At 59.1% G+C, this 19,086-nt stretch overlaps 1 long non-coding RNA gene across 1 annotated transcript, besides 1 other annotated feature; it reads left to right on the top strand.

Moving 5' to 3' along the window:
* Positions 559–1,280: an enhancer, noted in NCBI's record as "H3K4me1 hESC enhancer chr9:137186973-137187694 (GRCh37/hg19 assembly coordinates)". NCBI's record gives its function as "activates a minimal SCP1, AML or CMV promoter by ChIP-STARR-seq in naive H9 embryonic stem cells {active_cell/tissue: H9 hESC(naive)}" and the evidence as "EXISTENCE:reporter gene assay evidence [ECO:0000049][PMID:30033119]".
* LINC02247 (long intergenic non-protein coding RNA 2247) lies at positions 1,010–2,476 on the top strand. Its single transcript, NR_146518.1, has 2 exons — positions 1,010–1,096; positions 1,821–2,476. It is a non-coding gene; the product is annotated as a long intergenic non-protein coding RNA 2247 (long non-coding RNA).
* Positions 2,477–19,086: the final 16,610 nt, after the last annotated feature.

The following is a 19,086-nucleotide window of genomic DNA, read 5'->3' as shown; positions in this document are numbered from 1 at the left end:
CACTTTCACCCTCAAAACCACCTGTTATGGGGGTGCCTTTGCTCCCTGGCAAAAGATACGTTGCAGCCGCTACCCCCAGCACCTCAGACTGTGCTCTTATTTGGGAATAGGGTCATGGCAGGTGTGACTCATTAAAATAAGGTCATGCTGGTGTTGGGGAGGCCTAATTTGATATGACCCCTGTCCTTGTAAGTGGATGTGATGTGTCAGGGGCAACAAGAGTTCCAAGCAAGGCCCCTACCAGGCCTGGGAGGTCAGAAGCAGTAACAGCCTAAAGGATGACTGGGGTCAGGAGAGCAGGGAGGGTATCCCAGGCAGAGGGAATGGCCGGTGCAAGGGCTGGAAAGGACGCTGCCCATCGCTGCCCATCCTAAGCAGCAGGTGGCTTTGTCTGGCTGGTGGGCAGAGTTGGAGTGGGTGCAGGAGGGGCACAGTCGAATCCCACAGGGTCTGGTCAGTCACATTGAGTCTGGGTTTTATCCAGGGCAATGTGGAGCCACGGAAGGACTGGGAGGCAGGCCATGGTCGGGTGTGAAGAAGCCCTGGAGGCCGGTGGAGATAGAGGGGAGCTGGAGGCCGGTGGAGATAGAGGGGAGCTGGAGGCCGGTGGAGATAGAGGGGAGCTGGAGGCCGGCGGAGATAGAGGAGAGCTGGAGGCCGGTGGAGATAGAGGGGACCTGGAGGCCGGTGGAGATAGAGGGGACCTGGAGGCTGGTGGAGATAGAGGGGAGCTGGAGGCCAGTGGAGTCCTGGGTGTGGGCACTCGGACTGGGCAGCGGCGGGGGCGTGGCAAGAAGGGGAGCAGAGCAGAGAGGACACCTGACTGTGTCTGCCAGACCCGTTCCCCAGAGGACGCTGCCCTCCCGAGGAACCTCCCTCCTCTCTCCACCCACGGGGGCAGGCGCATTCCTGGCTGGCACCTCGGGGGATTTAGGATTTCTTCCTAACGAGCTCTCAGTCAGTCACCTGGGCTGTGCGTGAGTTCATGTCTTCAGGAGCTGAGGACTACGAGGCATCACAAAAGTGGCCACGAGAGGCAGGTAAAGGCCCCCAAAGTCTTCACCATCGTCCGCCTCAGAAAATCACTTGTCTGATGGTAAGGGATGGGATGTGGGGCGGCGTCGGCATTGGTGAGGGCCTCGGGCGGGGAGAGGGTTTGTGTCATCCAATCGCAAAGCTAAGTGTGTTGCTTCACTTTAGGCGTCAACCAGCCTGTCCAGGCCACACAGCGCACAGATACTGGGTCAGATATTACCCTGGTTGTTTCTTCAAGGTGTTTTTGGAAGAGACTGACATTTCAGTAGGCAGAGTAAAGCAGATTGCCTTCCCTAATGTGGACCGCTGGCCTGTGCACCGGGCAAGGCCCTGCCCCCCACCACCCCCACCTGCGGGGAGCCTCATCTGTGTGCTCCACGTTTGGGGCTGCCTGAAAGATTCCCTGGGAGAATCCCTCTCTGCTTGGAACCACTGACTTGGAGAGTGGTCTCAGTTACCTCTGGGCACACCAAGGCCGGGGAGCGAGCCCGTCTCACGCCGTGTGACCACCCCTTCCTAACGGTGGAAACCGGCCCTCTCCACCCAGGTCACCCGCCTCCACCTGGAGGGGTCAGGTCCTCAGGGATCAGGTGTCTGTGAAAACAATCCCGAGAGTCATCCGGAAGCTCCATTTCCAGCCAGGGTTAGGGTTCCAGAGGTCGCCCTGAGCGTGTTACGCACACGGCCTATCAAGTACACTCCTTTCCTCGCGGCACCCCCAGGAGGTCGGGGTGTTTGCTGGGTTCCACCCGTGCCCTCACTCATTTTCACTGTGGTCCGATCAGCTCAGGCGGAGCCCAGCAAACACCCCGACCCCCTGGAGGTGCCACGAGGAAAGGAGTGTCCTCAGAGAGCTTCCGGGGAAGCCAGCCCTATGAAGCCCTCCACGTTCACCAGGAGTTCATCGCAGCTGCGGCCAGGCTGGGAAGGAGAGGTGGCCACAGGCAGGCAGCGTGTCTGTTCCGGATGCAAAGCGCAGCCCCAGCCCCGCCCGCTGGAGCCCTCTCTGGCGCTGGGTGGACAAAGCTGCAGTGCGCCGGCCAGGGAAGGCCGAGGAGCCGCCCAGGCGAGGCCCGAGCTGCCTGGTGGCATCTGTGTGGACCCCAGGCCATGTCACTGCCTCAGCACACTCGACCTCCAACTCACATTCCTCACAGGTGGCCCGGGAAAGGGGACCACCCACTCGGCAGGAGCTCCCTGAGCCAGCTCAGTGGATGGAGCAAACTGACTTGGAAATCAAAGTGATGCCCAGACGGAGCAAGAGACAGCCCCGGACCAGCCCCCGGGCCACACCCGCGCACCAGCCAGGACCAGGCCCCGCGGAGGCTTGCTGGGAAGCTGGCGCTGTGTTGTTTCCCCCGCCAGCTGCTCGCTTCCTCCCGGGCTCACTGGAGTGCAAACTGCTTTCACTTGTTTGAAATGGAAATTTTTTCGTCTCTTTATACTTATTGTCACTTGTATTTTTCTCCCCAGAAATGGGGATTTGGACGTGAAGGCGGCTTGTGTGTGCGTTTCCGTGTGCGTGAACAGACACATCTGTTTCCACTTTGGGTTGGGGGGGTTGGCGCAGGGCGAGGGCTGCAGTCTGAGCCAACAGAGTCTACGGAAGCAGAGACAGAAGCCTGTGGAGGGGGCAGGGCGTGGGCAGAAGCAGCCCCTGCGGGTGGGGCTGAGGCCAGGGTTCCTCTCCACCAGCCCCTTACGGCTGCGTCAGGTGTGGGGGTCCTGGGGACATCTGCTCCTTCCCATGGCTTTGGAGGCTGCCAGAGCCTGCCCCAGCCACCCCCCGGGTCCTGGCTGTCACTGAGCCCTCCGTCTCCCTGCCTTTGCACCCAAGTTCCCCCAACCCCTTTATCTGGGTCCCTAGGAACGCCCTTATCCTTCCAGGCCCAGCTCCAGTTGGCTTCACCCCTCCAGAAGCCACCCTGCCAGTCTTTGCTCTAGCTCGGGTGCCTCGGGGTTTACTGCAGACCTGGCCATGTGTTTGGGGTGAGCACAGACTTCAGAGTCCAGCAGCGTCAGGCCACCTCGTGCCCTGCCCTTCTCCCCGCGTGCTACCTCCAAGGCCTGGCTCACACAGGTGCTTTGTGGGGGGAGTGGAGATGAAGACAAAGGTAACCACAAGGATAGTCCCCCCTCCAGGAGCCCCAGCCTGCACTGCAAGGACAAGGCGGTGGAACGACCTGCAGCAGAGACCAGGGCCTGGGACTGCCGGGGTGGTGAGGGTGTGCTTCCCAGAGGTGGCTGGGCCTGAGCCGCAGGGGTGAGTGGTGACCGCATGGAGACCCGGAGCTGCTGCTCTGCTGAAGGTGAAGGTCAGGCCCCAGAGGGAACTGAGAGACAGCACAGGAGAGCCAAGCTCCAGACTCAGACATGCCCATTAATCCTTCCTTCCTTCGTTCATTCATTTAGCCAGTTTTTGGCAGCCACCTGCAGTAGCTGGGGACCCACAGTGAACCACACAGACGGGATCCCTGCCCTTGTAACCTACATGGAGTAGGCAAGAGAGAGGGACCCAGATGGTGACAAGGACAGGGGCTGAAATGGAGAGGGGCCGCAAGGACCGGGGAGGGCGGGGGTGCTGAGGGGCTGAGGCCTGTACTGTCAGAAAGGCCCAGTCCCAGACGCTGGCCTCAGGCTTAGGCACCTGGAGCCAGGCCCCTCAACCCTCTGGGCATCCCCGGGTCCCACCGGGATGGCCCTGGGTCCTGCAGGGGAGGGCTGGGTACGGAGCACACACCACAGCCAAGCTCCAACCACGCCGTGGCCACAGATGTCTCTTCCAGGCCTTGAAGGCAGGGGTGGGGAAACCAAGGTGCCCAAAGCCCCCATCGGGGACGGGGTGTCCACCAAAGCTCCATCCACAGCGTGAGCTTGGAGCTCAGCATCGCAGGAATGGAGGGAGGCGCCCCATCGGATGCCACCTTGCCCGGAGGAATCCGGGCGGTCCACACTGGCTGGTCCACACTCAGAAGGCAAGGACAGGCCCGTGGGTTTGGCCACACTCCACCTGCACATGTGTCCTGGGCAGTGTTGCATTTCAGGAACGGTTCACGGTGGGTGTGGGGAGGGGCACTCCAGATGTAACTATTGGAGTCCTGGTGGCCGGAATGAGGCAGCCTACAGACGGAGACGTGGAGCCTGGGTCCCGAGGACGACAGCAGCCAGCCTGTCACAGGTGCCCGGTGAGCCTGAGCTCACGCATTCACGCAACGTGCGGTTGTCCACTGCGCATTTGTCTGGTGGCCGCCCCGTCTCACTGACTCCTCCCCAGCCCTGGCAGAGGAACCCCAGGCCCAGAGTGGAAGGGACTCCCAGGCTGCCCTCCTGCCCCTTCTCCAGGAGCAACTTGGAGGCACCCAAGCCCCAGCAGCCTCAGCCTGGGCCGCTCATACAGAGCACACACCATGGCCAAGCTCCGCCACGCCGTGGACACGGGTGCCTGTCCTCAAGCCTCCAAGGCAGGGGTGGAGAAACTGAGGCACCAAGAGGTGAAGCAAGCTGCCCAAAGCCCCCATCCTGGATTTCAGCACAGCCCTGCCTGATGCTAGAGGCTCCAAAAGGCTGCGGCTGCCTCTGCCGGCCCTCAGAAAAGAACCAGAGCAGCCGCGTGCAGGCCTCGGCCCAGTGGGGTGATGGCTGTCTCTGGTCTTTCCCTGGGGGAGGAGAGGCTTGGGTGCCAGCCCCACCCCGTGGCTGCGGCACTGGCTGGGAGGAGCTCCAGGTGCAGGCTCTTGGCCTTTGATGAGACTGAGCGTCCTTGTACACCAGGGACAAATTTAGCACCATGGGCGGGAAGTAAACATGTTGGTGCCATCCCGGCAGGGCCTTTATTGACTCCTCCATGAAGGGCAGCAGTGGGTGGAGGAGGCCACCGTGGGCTGCCAGCCCTCCCTTGAGGGCTAGGGATAGGGCTCCAAGGCCCCAGGACACCCCAATTCTATTCATGTCTGTACTCACTCTGTGATGAGGTCTCAGGCAGAGAGGGCACTTCCCTGGTAGCCCCTTGGCCATCCCAAAGTTCATCACACCCCTTACCCCAGCCGAGCCTTCCTGTCTGAGGCTGCGATCCCCTTTCCCAGTGGCACCTTGAGGCCCAGCAAGACCCCAGGGGAGGCCAGGACCTCAATGTCCACACAGTGTCTCCTGCATAGAGAAGTCTGGGCCACTGGTGAACCTTCTGGGGCTGAGAGGGAAGGACCCACAGCAATGACCGGTGGTCCCTAGAGATGCTGTACTGGGCCCTCACAAACATGCCTGTGTGCACACACTCCTGCATGCACAGGTGTGGTGTACAAGCCCGGAAGTGTGCAAACACACCACCCAGAGCAGTACTCATGAGTACGCGCACACTCCTGGTCACACTGCAGTGGAGACAGGTATGCACACATGTGTAGAACTGCATGTAGGAGGACATGTGTCCATCTCCAGGAAACTTGAGGGGCTCTCACACACCTATACACACACACCCAAGCCCACACCAGCAGGGACAAGTGGCCACATGTTTGTGTCCCAACCCACCTGGGGTGGTTAATTTTACGTATCAACTTGACTGGGCCACGGGGTGCCCAGATGTTTGGTTGAAGTGATTTCTGGGTATGTCCTTGCTGGTGTTTCTGGAGATGAGCATTTGAATGCTGGACCGAGGAAAGCAGGTGTCCCCCATTGTGGGTGGGCTCACCCGACTTGGCAAAGACCTGAATAGAATGCAGAGGCCGAGGAGAGGAGAATGGGCTTTGTCGTCCTGCCTACTTGAGATGGGACATGGGTCATCTCCTGCCCAGGGACTTAGACTTACACCACTGGTGGTCCCGGCTCTTGGGCCATCAGGATCTGATCGAAGGCCACCAGCAGGCTTCCTGGGTCTCCAGCGTGCAGACAGAGAGTGGGGCCTTCTCAGCCTCCATCATTGTGTGAGCCAATTCCTTACAATAAGCCTCCTCACGTCCTATTGCTTCATTTCTCCGAAGAGCCCTGAGTAATGTGCCACCCCAGCACACGCTCCTAAGCAAAGCTACGGTGGACGAAGCTGAACGAGGGTCATGCTCCATGCACTGACGACGGTGCCTGTGAGCCTATGCAATGGGCTGGACTCTCTGCACTGGTCCTCACAGAAGGTGAAGGTGACAGTGACAGCAGCTCTGCCATGTCCACTATCTTCAGGTGAGAGGCTGTTTGTGACAGACCTAGGGTTCCCTGTCCAGCTTAGTTGTGCCCCAAACTCCCTCAAGTCCATGGTCCTTGTGCAAATCCTCGAGCACATATGTCAAGTATGTTTCTGGGCACACATTTGCACAGGCCTGTGGGTGGCCTCAGACGCACCAGGGCACGTAACACACCAGTGTCTAGGACACAAAGTGCACCCCACAGGCTGTGTACACCCCCATATTCCCTCACATCTGCAGATCCGTGTGCACCCACAAACACACATGTGCCCCACACATGCTCACACAAATGATACTTCATCCCGTCCCCACCCCACTCTCTTCTAGAAACTGTCCACCCCTTACTGGGAACTGGGTGGGAGACGGAGGCCCACCCTGCCCCCTCCCTGTCCCCAAAGCAATAACATCATTCTCCTCTCTGCCATTAGCAGCTGGGCTGTTGGATCGCCTTTCGGGTGATGCAGCAGCCGTCCACCAGTCTGTGAAACAGTGTTCACACTGCCAGGCTGCCCCACATCCAGAAGACAGACCCACGTGGCCCCCCTTGGGACCCTTGGGAGGACAGTGCACGGGGACGCCCAACCCAGTCCCCATGGCCAAGAGCTGGGAGGCAGAGTACCTGGACAGTCCCCTCTGTGATGAACTCCCAAGCTCCACATTCTCTAATGGGGAGCAAAAGAGTCCCAGAGCACCCCCACCACAAGAGGGGGCCCTCAGAGGGTCAGGGGAGTCCCCGGGGCCATGGGCACCCGGGTGTCTTCAATCCATGCCCTGGGCCCTGCATGAGAACCCTGTTCTCCCTCCCCAAGATGCACCCCTTTCCACACGGATCCCCTGTGCTGCCTAGTACAGCAAAGGTACCTATAGTTTGACGAATGAACCATCATTGTATAAATGACAACGATTCTAATACTGTCTGCACTGGGGGCACTTGCATTTAGCCAGATACAGAAGGCAAGACAGCTGCCCCAAAGAGCAGACATCTGGGCTGGATGCCCTGGGCCCGAATCCTGGCTCTGCCTCTTTGCCACTGTGTGGCCTTGGGGAGGCAACACCACCAGCCTGTGCCTGTTTCCACCTTAGTAAAGTGGGCCCAGATGTCAGACCAACCTGGCAGGGCCTTCACAAGGGCTCAGCGAGTTAATTTTGTAAATCACCCAGAGCTGTGCCCAGCTTGGATGAGGGCGCTCCGTGGCTCACCATAGAACTGAAAACGCATCTCATGTAGCCCCTAGCCAGACCTGGAGGCTCGGGGTCTTCACCCCATTCTCCAGATGAGGAGACCAAGACCCAAGAGGGCAACCCCCAGCCAGGGCCTCACCACTCATGAAAGACCCAGCCGAGGTGCTCTGCAAAGACCTCTGGTGAACTCACATTCCAGGAGGCGAATCCCCCGCTGCTGGACAACGTGGCCGCAGGAGTGCTATGGGAACTCCAGAATATTGAATTTCATTGAGTCTGCGGTCAAAATGTCTAAAATCAAAGCCATTTCCAAAAAATCCATAGATATGTCTGTCCTCAAAAAGAGGTGGCTATTAGCAGGATTTTGCTTTCTGAACATGGCATGTTCATAGTTGGGGCTTCCAGAAGGCCCAGCTGGCCCTCTCCAACCTTTCTAGAGCCAGCTCAGCCCCTTTCCTGTCCTGCCCCATTCTGGGGTGCCACAAAGCCATGCAAGTCCCCATCCTGGACCTGGAACATCACACCATCCATCCAAGATGGCCAATAGGTATGTGCTGATGACCGGGTCGCCCGCGGTGGCCTCTCTCTCCGGAGTCTGGCCCCGGCTTGCTTGCCCTGCCTGGGTTTACTTGGGCAGGACTGGCCACACCCCCTGGGCCATCCCACCCCCACCATCATCTCTGCCAAGACCCTGTGATCCCAATCCTCCTGCAGGAACAGCCCCCTTGGTGGCTCCCCCACCCCAGCAGAAGGCGAGGGTTGCAGTTCGCGGCTTCCTCTGGAGCAGGGGCAGGGGAGGATTCTGCTTCATTAATCCCCTGGGGCCAAGGCCTCCCTACCCAGCCGCAGCCTGGCCCCAGCTCCAACAGCCAGGACCTCGAGCCCAGGTGCGTGACTGTCACCAAGATAAAAGAGACGTAATTAAATTCCAATCAGCCGAGTGATTTGCTATCATAATGTAATATTTCCCTCCAGCCCCTTAATCCCACAGATCTGTCTCCGTCAGCCTGCCCGGATGGGGGTCCCTGCCTGCCCGGGCTTCAGGCCTTCCTGCCACCCTGGGCCCGGCTGCAGGAGGAGTGATGGGAGGGGACGTCCACCCCACCTGCCCCTCTCGGCCACACACATCCCTCCCCCAACACTAGGCCGTTGAAGGTGATAATGAAGTCATTTTTCTAAGGAATGTTCACCTGGAAGACAGCCGTGTCCGCCAGCCGCTGATCGGGCCACAAAGGCAGGCCCAGGGGAGAAGTGGAGGGCGGGGGCGGGAGGGAAGGTGGGGGTGAGGTGCGGCGGGCCCTGAAGGCCTGCTGCTCTGAGCCTGCTGCCACGTCGGGGTGATTTATATGGGAGCTCCTCGGAGCCTAGGCCCTGCCTCTGCCCCAGCCGGATGCAGCAACCGGCTGCCGTTGCAGCAGGAGGGAGAAAACCTGGGGACTTGGCCTCGGTGAGTAGGGGTGCTGGGGTGGGGGCGGGGGGGCGGGGGGGCGGTGATGGCGAGCTCCAGCGAGGCAGCAGAAGACGCGTTTTCAGTTCCAGAAGGAGCCACGGCGTGCCCTCGCCTGACCTGGGCACAGCTCTGGGTGCTTTTCAGCAGAACTGATTGATAGGGCCCTCCTGAGGGCCCAACCAGGTAGGTCTGACGACCGGCCCCACCTTACTAATGTGGAAACTGAGGCACAAGTGACACTGAGCTGCTCCCTGTGGTCTCACATATCTGAAACTCACCCTGGCATCTCCTGCCATCCCAGGATACACGAGGGACTCTGAAACACTCCAGCCTGAACCACAGCCTGGTCCTGGGGCCCTGGGACCTTCTCGGGAGACCCAGATGTCTCCTGCGCTCTCCTCTCGCTCATCTCCTCTCCCAAGTGTTTCCTCCCACTGTGGCTACAAGCCCCACAGGTAGCTGGGCTCAGAGTACCAGGGTCCACACAGAGCCACAGCTCCCTAGCTGTTCCCTGTCCCCTGCCCCGGGGCCACTGTGCAATTGTCCTGGTGCTTCAGTTTCCTCGTCAGTTTCCTCGCCAGTTCATAAGTTGTCCTGAGAATAGAGAGGCCTGGGGCATGGCCCTGGTTCGGAGGAAGGGTTGGGTGCTTTTATCAGGACTGTGTGTAAAAGCGAATGCAGAAAAGGACAGTCCAGAGGGTGGCAGAGCTGGGGCAGAGCAGGGAACGGGTAGTTTGTTGACATCTTTCTGCTTTTCTGTGGCTTCCACGTTTGCTAAAACTGGTCTGTTGACTTTCAGGGGGAGCCAACGGCTGTGTGTGGCGGACTTGGCAGGCAGAGGCAGCCTGCGGGCAGCCACAGCGGACAGCACAGCGGCCCCCACCTGGGAGGTGGCTCCCAGGACAGAATGCCTCACTGGCCCGGGGCTGCAGGAAGCCTGGGGGGCGGCCGTTCTGCCAGGCCAAGTCCCAAGTGCAAGCTTCACTGACAGCACTGTTTGGGGGACTGACGGCACCGTTTGGGGTATGGACGGCACCGTCTGGGCAACGGACGGCACCATCTGGGGTGCAGACGGCACCATCTGGGGGACGGACGGCACTGTCTGGGGGGCAGACGGCACTGTTTGGGGGTGGGGGATGGGTGCAGGGGCCAAGTGATGCTGAGGAGCAAATAATGAAAAGACCCATGTGTTTGGTTATATTTCAATATGACATTTTTAAAACAATACACAAAAGGTATATCCCAGTGTTTTGGGGGGCCAAGGTAGGAGGATCTGTTGAGGCCAGGAGTTCAAGACCAGCCTGGACAACATAGTAAGACGCCCCACAACCTACAAAAAAAAAATAAGAATTAGCCAGGTATGGTGCCGCGTGCCTGTAGTCTCAGCTACTCAGTAGGCGAGGAAGGAGGATGGCTTGAGCCCAGGAGGTCGAGGCTACAGTGAGCTACGATCATACCACTGCACTCCAGCCTGGGTGACAGAGCTAGACCCTGTCTCTAAAGAAAAATTAAAAATAAATAAATAAAAGGCCTAAAATGAAAACAATGAGGGGGCTGAATTACCAGGGGTTCAAAATTGGGGTAGACTTCAGAATTTTTTTTTTTTTTTGAGGCAGAGTTTCGCTCTTGTTGCCCAGGCTGGAGTGCAATGGCATGATCTCAGCTCACTGCAACCTCCACCTCCCGGGTTCAAGTGATTCTCCTGCCTCAGGCCTCCGGAGTAGCCAGGATTACAGGTGCCTGCCACTACGCCTGGCTAATTTTTTGTACTTTTAGTAGAGACGGGATTTCATCATGTTGGCCAGGTTGGTCTTGAACTCCTGACCTCAGGTGATCTGTCTGCCTCAGCCTCCCAAAGTGCAAGGATTACAGGCATGAGCCACCACGCCCAGCTGACTTCAGAATTTTCAAATATGCATACCTGGGTTCTACCTTGTGAGGGTTCTGAGATGAGTCATGACACTTCACACACACACACACACACACACACACACACCATATACACAGATGCACACCACACAGACACACATCACACACACAGACACACACCACACCACACACTCACCATACATGCAGACACACACACAGACACACACACACACCACAAACACACGCACACAGACACAGGTCCAGTGAGGTTCACAGATCCCACAGCGGGCAGAGTGTCGGGCAGGTGCGGCTCACCCGGAGGAACGGACACGGCCCCGGGCCCAGCAGCAGTGCCGGTTCCCTCCTCAGGAACACACCTTGAGAAGCACTTGGTGGGGGGTCTTTGCAGGACTCTGAGGTCCGTGAAGCTCAAGCTATGACTCTGTAGTAGGACACGCCCACCCCAGGCTGGAGGGTCCTGGGGACACGCAGAGGTGAGGGGAGCTTTCCGGGGGGCACGTCCATGGCCAGCTCGTTCCTCCAGGAGTTGGCACCTTCCATGAGGGGAGAGCAGCACCTTGTCCTGGGGCCCCAGGGAGCAGACCACCCAGGGCTGTGCTTTTGTGGGGGTGGTCCCCAGAGCCCCTGCCCCTGCTTGTGAAAAATGCAGGTTTCCAGGCCCCGCCCCAGACCCACCGGCACAAACACACGGGGACCAAAGCACCCCTGCTGGTGCCCAGAGGCCCCACAATGCCCTTGCATGGCTGGGCGGTGCCCAGAGCCCCCACAATGCCCTCAGGTGGTCGGACAGTGCTCAGAGCCCCCCAAGATGCCCTCGCGTGGTCAGACAGTGCACAGAGCCCCCCACGATGCCCTTGCGTGGTCGGACAGTGCACAGAGCCCCCCAACAATGCCCTCGCGTAGCTGGGCCTCTACCTGTGGCCCTGGACATTTTAGGGTGAACACTGATTCCCAGTCTTTGTGGAAAGTGAAGTGAAGGAGACAGGGAGGGTGGGGTCAACCAGAGAATGAATTTGGGCCCCACCCCACCAGGGGTCTTGTGCGCTCTCCAGGCTGGTGGCACCAGGTACACTTGCATTTCAGCCCCTGGGTTTTCAGTAGAAACTCAGAGGTGGGGTGGCGGAGCTCAGCCTCTGCCGCCAGGGTACAGAGCTGCACTGGAGCTGCTCCCTCTGGTCTCACATGTCTGAAACTCACCCTGGCATCTCCTGCCATCCCAGGACACATGAGGGACTCTGAGGGACTCGGCGTGCCAGGAAGGGCTGGGAGCCAGGCTCAGCGGGAGGGCGAGCCCTGAGTGATTGGTCATGTTTGCCACAGTACAGGAGCGGGCCTGGCTGCAAGTTGGGAGGTCTGGGCTTACCACGTCCAGTTGAGGGCTGAGATTCCATCACCAGGAAGCCCTCCAACCTGCCAGAGCATGGGGTCCAGGGGGGTGCTCCCCTCCTGGCAGACGCAGCCTCTCAGGGCATCTGTGGCACTTTCCAAGGCTTCTATGGCACATCCTACCACCTCTCAGCCTATCCTCTCACCGCCCATCCATTGGTCCACCCACCCATCTGTCCACCCATCCACCTATCTGCCCGTCCGACTAGCTCTTGCCAATGTTGGGGGTGGTGGGAGGCAGAGGCGCTGGAGTGGGAGCCGTGGGCTTCCCAACACGGCTCCTCACAGTGCTGCCCTGTAGCCCACCATGGAGCTCAGGTCCCCGCCCACATAGACCGCCCTGGAGCAGGTGTGATGGGTGGCTCACAGGAGGCACCTCCAGATGACCCAGCCAGGGGGCTCGCTGCCAGCCCCGGGAAGGAGTTTAGGGTGGGAGCGGGGAGAGGCTCAGTCTGGCATGGATGACCCCTGTGTTTCCCGGGTGTCCTGCCTCCTGGGACAGGGAAGTAAGGGGACTGGGGTGAACCCAGGGCAGTGGGCACAAGGACAGGTGGATGTAGACGGGGCTCCCAAGGACAGGGTCTCGGCACTGAGCCTGGCCTCTGCTTAGACTGGCCTGGGTCAAGTCTGGCTGCTCCTACATCCTCTGTGTCATTGCTGAACCTCTCAGAGCCTCAGTGTCCTCATGTGTGAAATGGGGACGCTGGCTCTCGCCTCACTGAACCAATGTGCATGTAAAGCAATGGGCACCATGCTGGGCACACTCACTCGCCAAGGAGGCAGGAGCCCCACGCTCCCAGGACAGGCTCATCCGCAGCAAGAGGCAGAGACTGAGGCCTCCTGGTCGACCGCCAACTTCTCCTGGGAGGCGTCCCGCCAGCTCCTGGCTGCGTAAGAGAATGAACGTGTCAGGGAAAGTGCCCAAACCCTTGCAAGAGGGAAAGAACGTGAGAGGGAGGGGAAAGAGGCAGCTTGTGCCAAGATGGTTAAAACAACGCTATTCATACAGCAAAGAACTGGAAACCTCCCAGGTGCCCAACAATGGGGCTCGGGGAAGCCAGCGGCCAGGAAGGCAGCTGTACGGGCCCAGTCGGCACACGGCGCTGGGAGGGTTGGCAGCAGAGGCGGGGAGGGGCAGGATGGCGGCACGGGCGCGCCAGCCACAGCAACACAGCCGATCACGCTTAGTGGGCCAGAGGGCAAGGCGGGGGGGGAGGGGGGGACACACATGGGAACAGTGGCTTGGAGTCTTCTGTGTCCTAGTCCCCAGCTCTGTGGGGAGCCCCAAGTCTTGCTGCCCTCCTGACGGCACAGCAAAGGGGCTTTGGAGTCAGACAGTTGGGGCCTGAACCCAGACCTGTCATTACCAATGGTGCCATTGCTGGCCAGTGGTTCCACGTTGCTGGGCCTCAGTTTCCCCACCTCCAAATGGGGAAGGCGTAGTTCCATTAGGCAGAGAACAGGGGTCCATTAGGCTGGGGCAGGGGCAACCTTCCTCACTGGACAGTGGGGTTGCCAGTGGAAGGGGTTCTGGGGACCCTGGAAATGCAGACTGCCTCCAACCTCTGACTCTTCCAGAATTGGAGCCCCCGTACTGTCCCTACCCTCACAGTGAGCCACCCCTCGATGTGAGCTGATCTCCTGAGCCTGTCAGGCAACAGCTGCCCACAGACCTCTGGCTTCTGCAGAGGGGAGCCCAGAGGAGCAGAGGGGATGCGCAGGTGTAGGGAGGAGGCCCCAACTGTGTCTCCACCACAGCCTAGGCCAGAGCTCAGGAGGTGGCGACGCAGCCAGTGGGGAGAGCCCAGAGTCTGGGGGTTGGAGAAGAGACTGGAGCCCTCAGTGTCGGCGTGACCAGGGCTGGGGCCGGGAGCTGTGTCTGTGGATCCCTCCGATTCCTGTACTCAGGGCCCTGCTGGAGGCAGCCTCAAGGCAGGAGCCCTAGGCAGGGTGAGGGCAGAACCCGCTGGCTCAGGGCGGCCGTGAGCCATCGGGAGGCACTCAGGAGCACGCAGGGAGCCAGGCCCCGGCTAAGCCAAGCCGCGGCTCAAATGTGGGACTCTCCCGGGATCCTTCGAGATGCCTCCTGCCACGTCCCTCTGAGACCGGCATGTTAGAAAGCCCTTTCTTGGTCATCCCTTTATTGGGTTCACAGCCATCAGCACCATTTTACAAATGTTTTTACAGACAAGAAAACCAAGTCTTGGCAGGTCCTCGCAGATGACAGTGGCAGAACCAGTATTCAAACTCAGGTCTTGAGTGAGCCCTTGTCCTCTTTCTGCTGAACCACACTGCCTCTCCCCAATGGCCTCACGAGGGATGGGGTGGTACCGCCTGCGGCTTCTGCATCTGAGCCCACTCACTGCCTGGCCACCAGATAGATTGCAGCATCCACCTGCCCTTGTCCCCCATGTCCCCCACCCCAGGGACCATGCCAGCCCTTCCCTTCCTCCTCTGGGTGGACGGCACTGGGCCCAGGCTCTGCCGGACCTGGTGGTGGCTCCACCGGAACCCGCGAGAAGAGCTGAGCACGTACAAGCCATTTTCTCGGATGAGTTATAATTTTCCTTCATTTCCCCTTCAAAACACACTAATTAAACGGACATTGTTGAGGCGGTCAATTGAAATGCAAAAAAGCATCCTCTTTCTAAAGAACATCCCCATTTCTTTGGAGGCAATTGTGTGCATTGTGTTAACTGGGCAGGGACACGAAGCGCACACACGTGGACACATGCACACACGAGCAGACGTGCACACACACACACGCATGACTGCATATGTGCATCCATAAGCACAAACGTGCATGCGTGTGTGCGTCCACACACACGAACCCGGCGGAGACACTCAGTCTCACCTGAGCGCGCTTTCGTGCCCAGCACCAGGACTGTTCCGATGTCAGCCACGGTCACCAGGGCACCGATAGACTCAGGGAGTTCTTTTCTCCCGCAGCTGCCGGGGCACTGTCTCAGGAGCGTCCGCTGGAGGCCCCATCCCGCCATTCCAGGGGTCTCCTCCCTGGCCAGCCACTCCCACAAGGTATTGTCTCTTCTGTGCCCCCATCTCCGTCCTCACCTCCGTCCTCACCTCTGCCCCCACAGACGTTTCTGGACCCAGCCTGGAGACGGGGGAGGCAGGTAGCCTTGACAGACCTGGCCGGACCCGGACCCCTGTCTTAGGGCAGAGAGGACGGCTCCAGCTTGGAGCCCAAACACCAGGGAGGCAGCTGGGACTTGCAGGTCACCAAGGGCTTCCCTGGGGCACCACCCTCCTTTTGAAGTGTAACGCTTTATTTTTTTCATCAAGATATGGAAAACACACAGGGAAGTGTACAGAGAATAAGTAAATTGTCACAAAGCCATGGTCTGTGTAAGCACCACTCAGGCCAAGGGCAGGTACTTCCACCCCCTGCAAGACCCGAAGCCCCCCGGGCCCTTCCCAATCACACCCGCACACCCCTCTCCTGACTCCCAATATCTGAGGCTGCCTTTGCCTGTGTCCAGCTTTAGGCAAACAAGCTCGTTTCTTATTTTGTGTCTGGCTTCCTTCACCCAGCTCTGTGTGAGGCCCCGTGCTGCGTGTCGGTGGCCACATGCTCGTGTGTCTGCCTGGCCCACGGCGGAGGGACACCTCGGACCCTCCGGGCCCCTCCCTTGCTCCTGCTGCCCAAAGATCCTGCCAGCCCTACCCTTGCCAGGGCCAGGTACCCTGATGCAGATGGAGGGCCAGAGGCCTCCGTGGGGAGGTGAGGGACCTGCGGGCCCCCTGAGAGCCCACCGTCCTGAGGCCACCATACGGCCAGAGGTCCCTCAGGACGTGGGTCATGAGACTGTCCTTCTGCAACCCACACCTAGCCATGGAACCCTTGGGCCATGGCTGCCCCTGTGACCGCTGATGGTGGCAAAGTGCAGCTTGGCCTAAAGATATTCTGACTCCATTTATTTGTCACCTGTGTCTGGATCTTGGTGGGGACAAATCTTCTAGACTGTGTCTGTACCTAGGGAGAAAGGAGGAGTCAGATGCATTGGTGGGGGGCACAGGGAGCTGGTGGGGAGCAGAGGCCCTGAGGATAAACAGACAGGAGCAGCCCCTGGGCCTGCAGGAGGCCCAGGACGCCGGAGTCTGGGAGATCCCTTCCAGAGGAGACCGCTCCCCACTCCCGGGGGCTGCTGGGGCCCAAGCCGTCCTCCCAGCAATGCTCTGTGGTGAACAGTGTCTCACCCACGTTGAGGGGCTCCTGCTATGTCCTGGGCATGGGCTCCTGTCACCATGAAGGGAAGGCATGGGTGTCTGCTGAGACGCAGGATGTACGTGCAGGGTGCGGGGGCTGCTGCCAGGGAAGGCTTCCAGGAGGAGGTGACCAGCCAAGCTCAGGTGAAGGAGCAGGGCCAGGGAGGACGCCTGGCAGAGGAAGGGTGGCCACAAAGACCAGGAGGAGGGGTGAGCCCCGGTGTTCCAGGAGCCAAGAGCTCAGCCTGGCTGGAGCTGGGTTGAGTGTGTGAGGGTGTAGGGGGAATATGAGGAGTGTGTGTGAATCAGTGTGTGTGAGTGTGTGAATCTGAGTGTGTGACAGTGAGTGAGGATGGAGTGTGTGAATGGGCCTGTGTGTGTGAATCTGAGTGTGTGAGTGTGTGGGGATGTGGGAGTGTGTGAATGAGCATGTATGAGTGTGTGTGAATCTGAGTGTGTGATGTGAGTGGGTGAGGATGGAGTGTATGAATGAGCGTGTGTGAGTGTGAGTATGTGAATGAACATGTGTGTGAGTGTGTGTGTGTGATGTGAGTGGGTGAGGATGTGGCAGTGTGTGAATGATCGTGTGTGTGTGAGAATCTGAGTGATGTGAGTGGGTGGGGATGTGGGAGTGTGTGAATGAGCGTGTGTGAGTGTGTGTGTGTGATGTGAGTGGGTGAGAATGCGGCAGTGTGTGAATGAGCGTGTGTGTGTGAATCTGAGTGATGTGAGTGGGTGGGAATGTGGCAGTGTGTGAACGAGCATGTGTGAGTGTGAGTGTGTGATGTGGGAGTGTGTGAATGAGCATGTGTGAGTGTGTGTGAATCTGTGTGATGTGAATGGGTGAGGATGGAGTATGTGAATGAGCATGTGTGAGTGTGTGAGTGTGTGATGTGAGTGGGTGAGGATGTGGCAGTGTGTGAATGAGCGTGTGTGAGTGTGAGTGTGTGTGATGTGTGATGTGAGTGGGTGAGGATGTGGCAGTGTGTGAATGAGTGTGTGTGAGTGTGTGGCTATGCGTGTGTGGGAGTGTGTGAGTGAGGTCTGATGTGCAAGCTGCAGGTTGCAGAGCCTTGTGGATCACAATAAGATGCCAGGGGCCAGGACTGGATCCTGCAGTGCCAGGAAGCCACAGAGTGTGGTAGGGTGAGATTGACGCTGTCAGCATGTCCCTAGGTGCTGGTGGAGGCTGGACTGGAGGCAGGCCACAGCCGAGGTCCAGCTGGGGGCCACCATGGTGTTGAAGGACAAAGTGAAGCCATCCTGGTCGGGGCAATAGGAGAGGCATTTGGCAAATACATGTATCTGGTCTTGATGTCTGCCCGGAAACCTTCAAATCCAGAGACAGATTTTGAAGGTTTGTCCAAAGGCCCAGTGAGCTGGGCAGGCTTCTACCTGGAAGGGGGAATTGCAGGTTGAGTGATAGTTGAGAGGCGGGACTGCCTGAGCTTGACTCTCAGTCTGCCACTTGAGAACTGGGTGGCCTTGGCAGAGTGACTTGGCTTCTCTGAGCCTGTTTCTTCATTGGTGGCATTGGATGATGATAATAGTACCCACATGTATTAGTCAGTTTTTGCTGCGTAACAAAATACCCCAAAACTAAGTGGCTTCTGACAGCAAATGGTGGTTTCCTTGCTTGTGGGCCTGTGGGTGGGCGGTGGCCCTGGAAGGCTCAGCGGTGCTCGGCTGGACCCCCCGCCAGGCTGCAGGTTGGGTTCAGGTCTGCTCCCTGTATTTCCTCATCATCCTTGGACCAGTGGCTCCGTGGAACATGCTCAGCTGGGACAGCTCAGCAGGGCATAAAACAGTGAGATGCTGCAGAAGCGTGCACGGGTCGGCCTCACCACTCACCCAACTGGCTGTCCCCGAGCCCAGGCTAGTCCCAAGCCCAGGCCCAACACGGCTAAGTGGGGAAGTTCCTCACCCATAGTGGGAGGCAGGGAGTGGCCTATTAGAGGAGTGAGGACCTGGGCACCATACCCAAGGCCCTGCCTTCACCATGAGGCACTGGAGAGCAGTGAGCAGAGCTGTGTTCAGGACACATGAGCTGTCACTGCTCAGCAGAGGAGCAAACCAAGTCCCCTGCCCTGCCACAGCAAAGGACCAAGCCGGCTCTCCTAAGAGCCTTGGGAGCTGCAAGGGGTCAGGATGTCCTCCGGGGGTCTCCCCGCAACCTGCCCCTGCTGGTTGTGCAGGAGCCTCTGAGACTCCACCATGCCTGGAGGAGACCCTGTACTCAGCCTGCCTCTGCACCCACCGGCCACTCAACACCAAGGAAACCAGGTTGGCACCTGGCACTATTACATCTTTACCATCTGGGGTCCATGTGGCCCCCTAGTGCCACCTGCCCCATCCAGGCACACAGTCGCCTCTGGCTCCAGGGGCATGGCGTTGAACACAGCTTGCCTCAGGGAGGAGGCGGCCCCTGACCCCGCCCTGGAGTCTGCCCAGCAACCTCCATCACCAGTGAACCCAAGTGCTCCAGACCCGGCCACCAGGTATCGTAGTGCACATGGAGGCTGGGCAGAGAAGACAGCCCAGGAAGCCTCTAGGGCAAGGGGGGCATGGGAAGTGCCAGAGTGATTGGCATTGAATTGTCTGATGAATGAACAAGGGGAGAAGACAGGGGCATGGCAACTGCCTAGGAGAGCCCAGCAGAGGCTCTGAGACCCAGAACAAACCCCAGTAAGTCTGGCTCTGCCTCACCCTGGCGCGGAAGCCCTGCCTCTTGCCTCCATGCCAGAGGTTGTT

The sequence above is a fragment of the Homo sapiens genome, chromosome 9, assembly GCF_000001405.40.
Source record: "Homo sapiens chromosome 9, GRCh38.p14 Primary Assembly".
Classification (NCBI taxonomy): Eukaryota; Metazoa; Chordata; class Mammalia; order Primates; family Hominidae; genus Homo; species Homo sapiens.
Note: the sequence above shows the minus strand (reverse complement) of the source record. Positions and strands in the feature narration are given on the sequence as shown.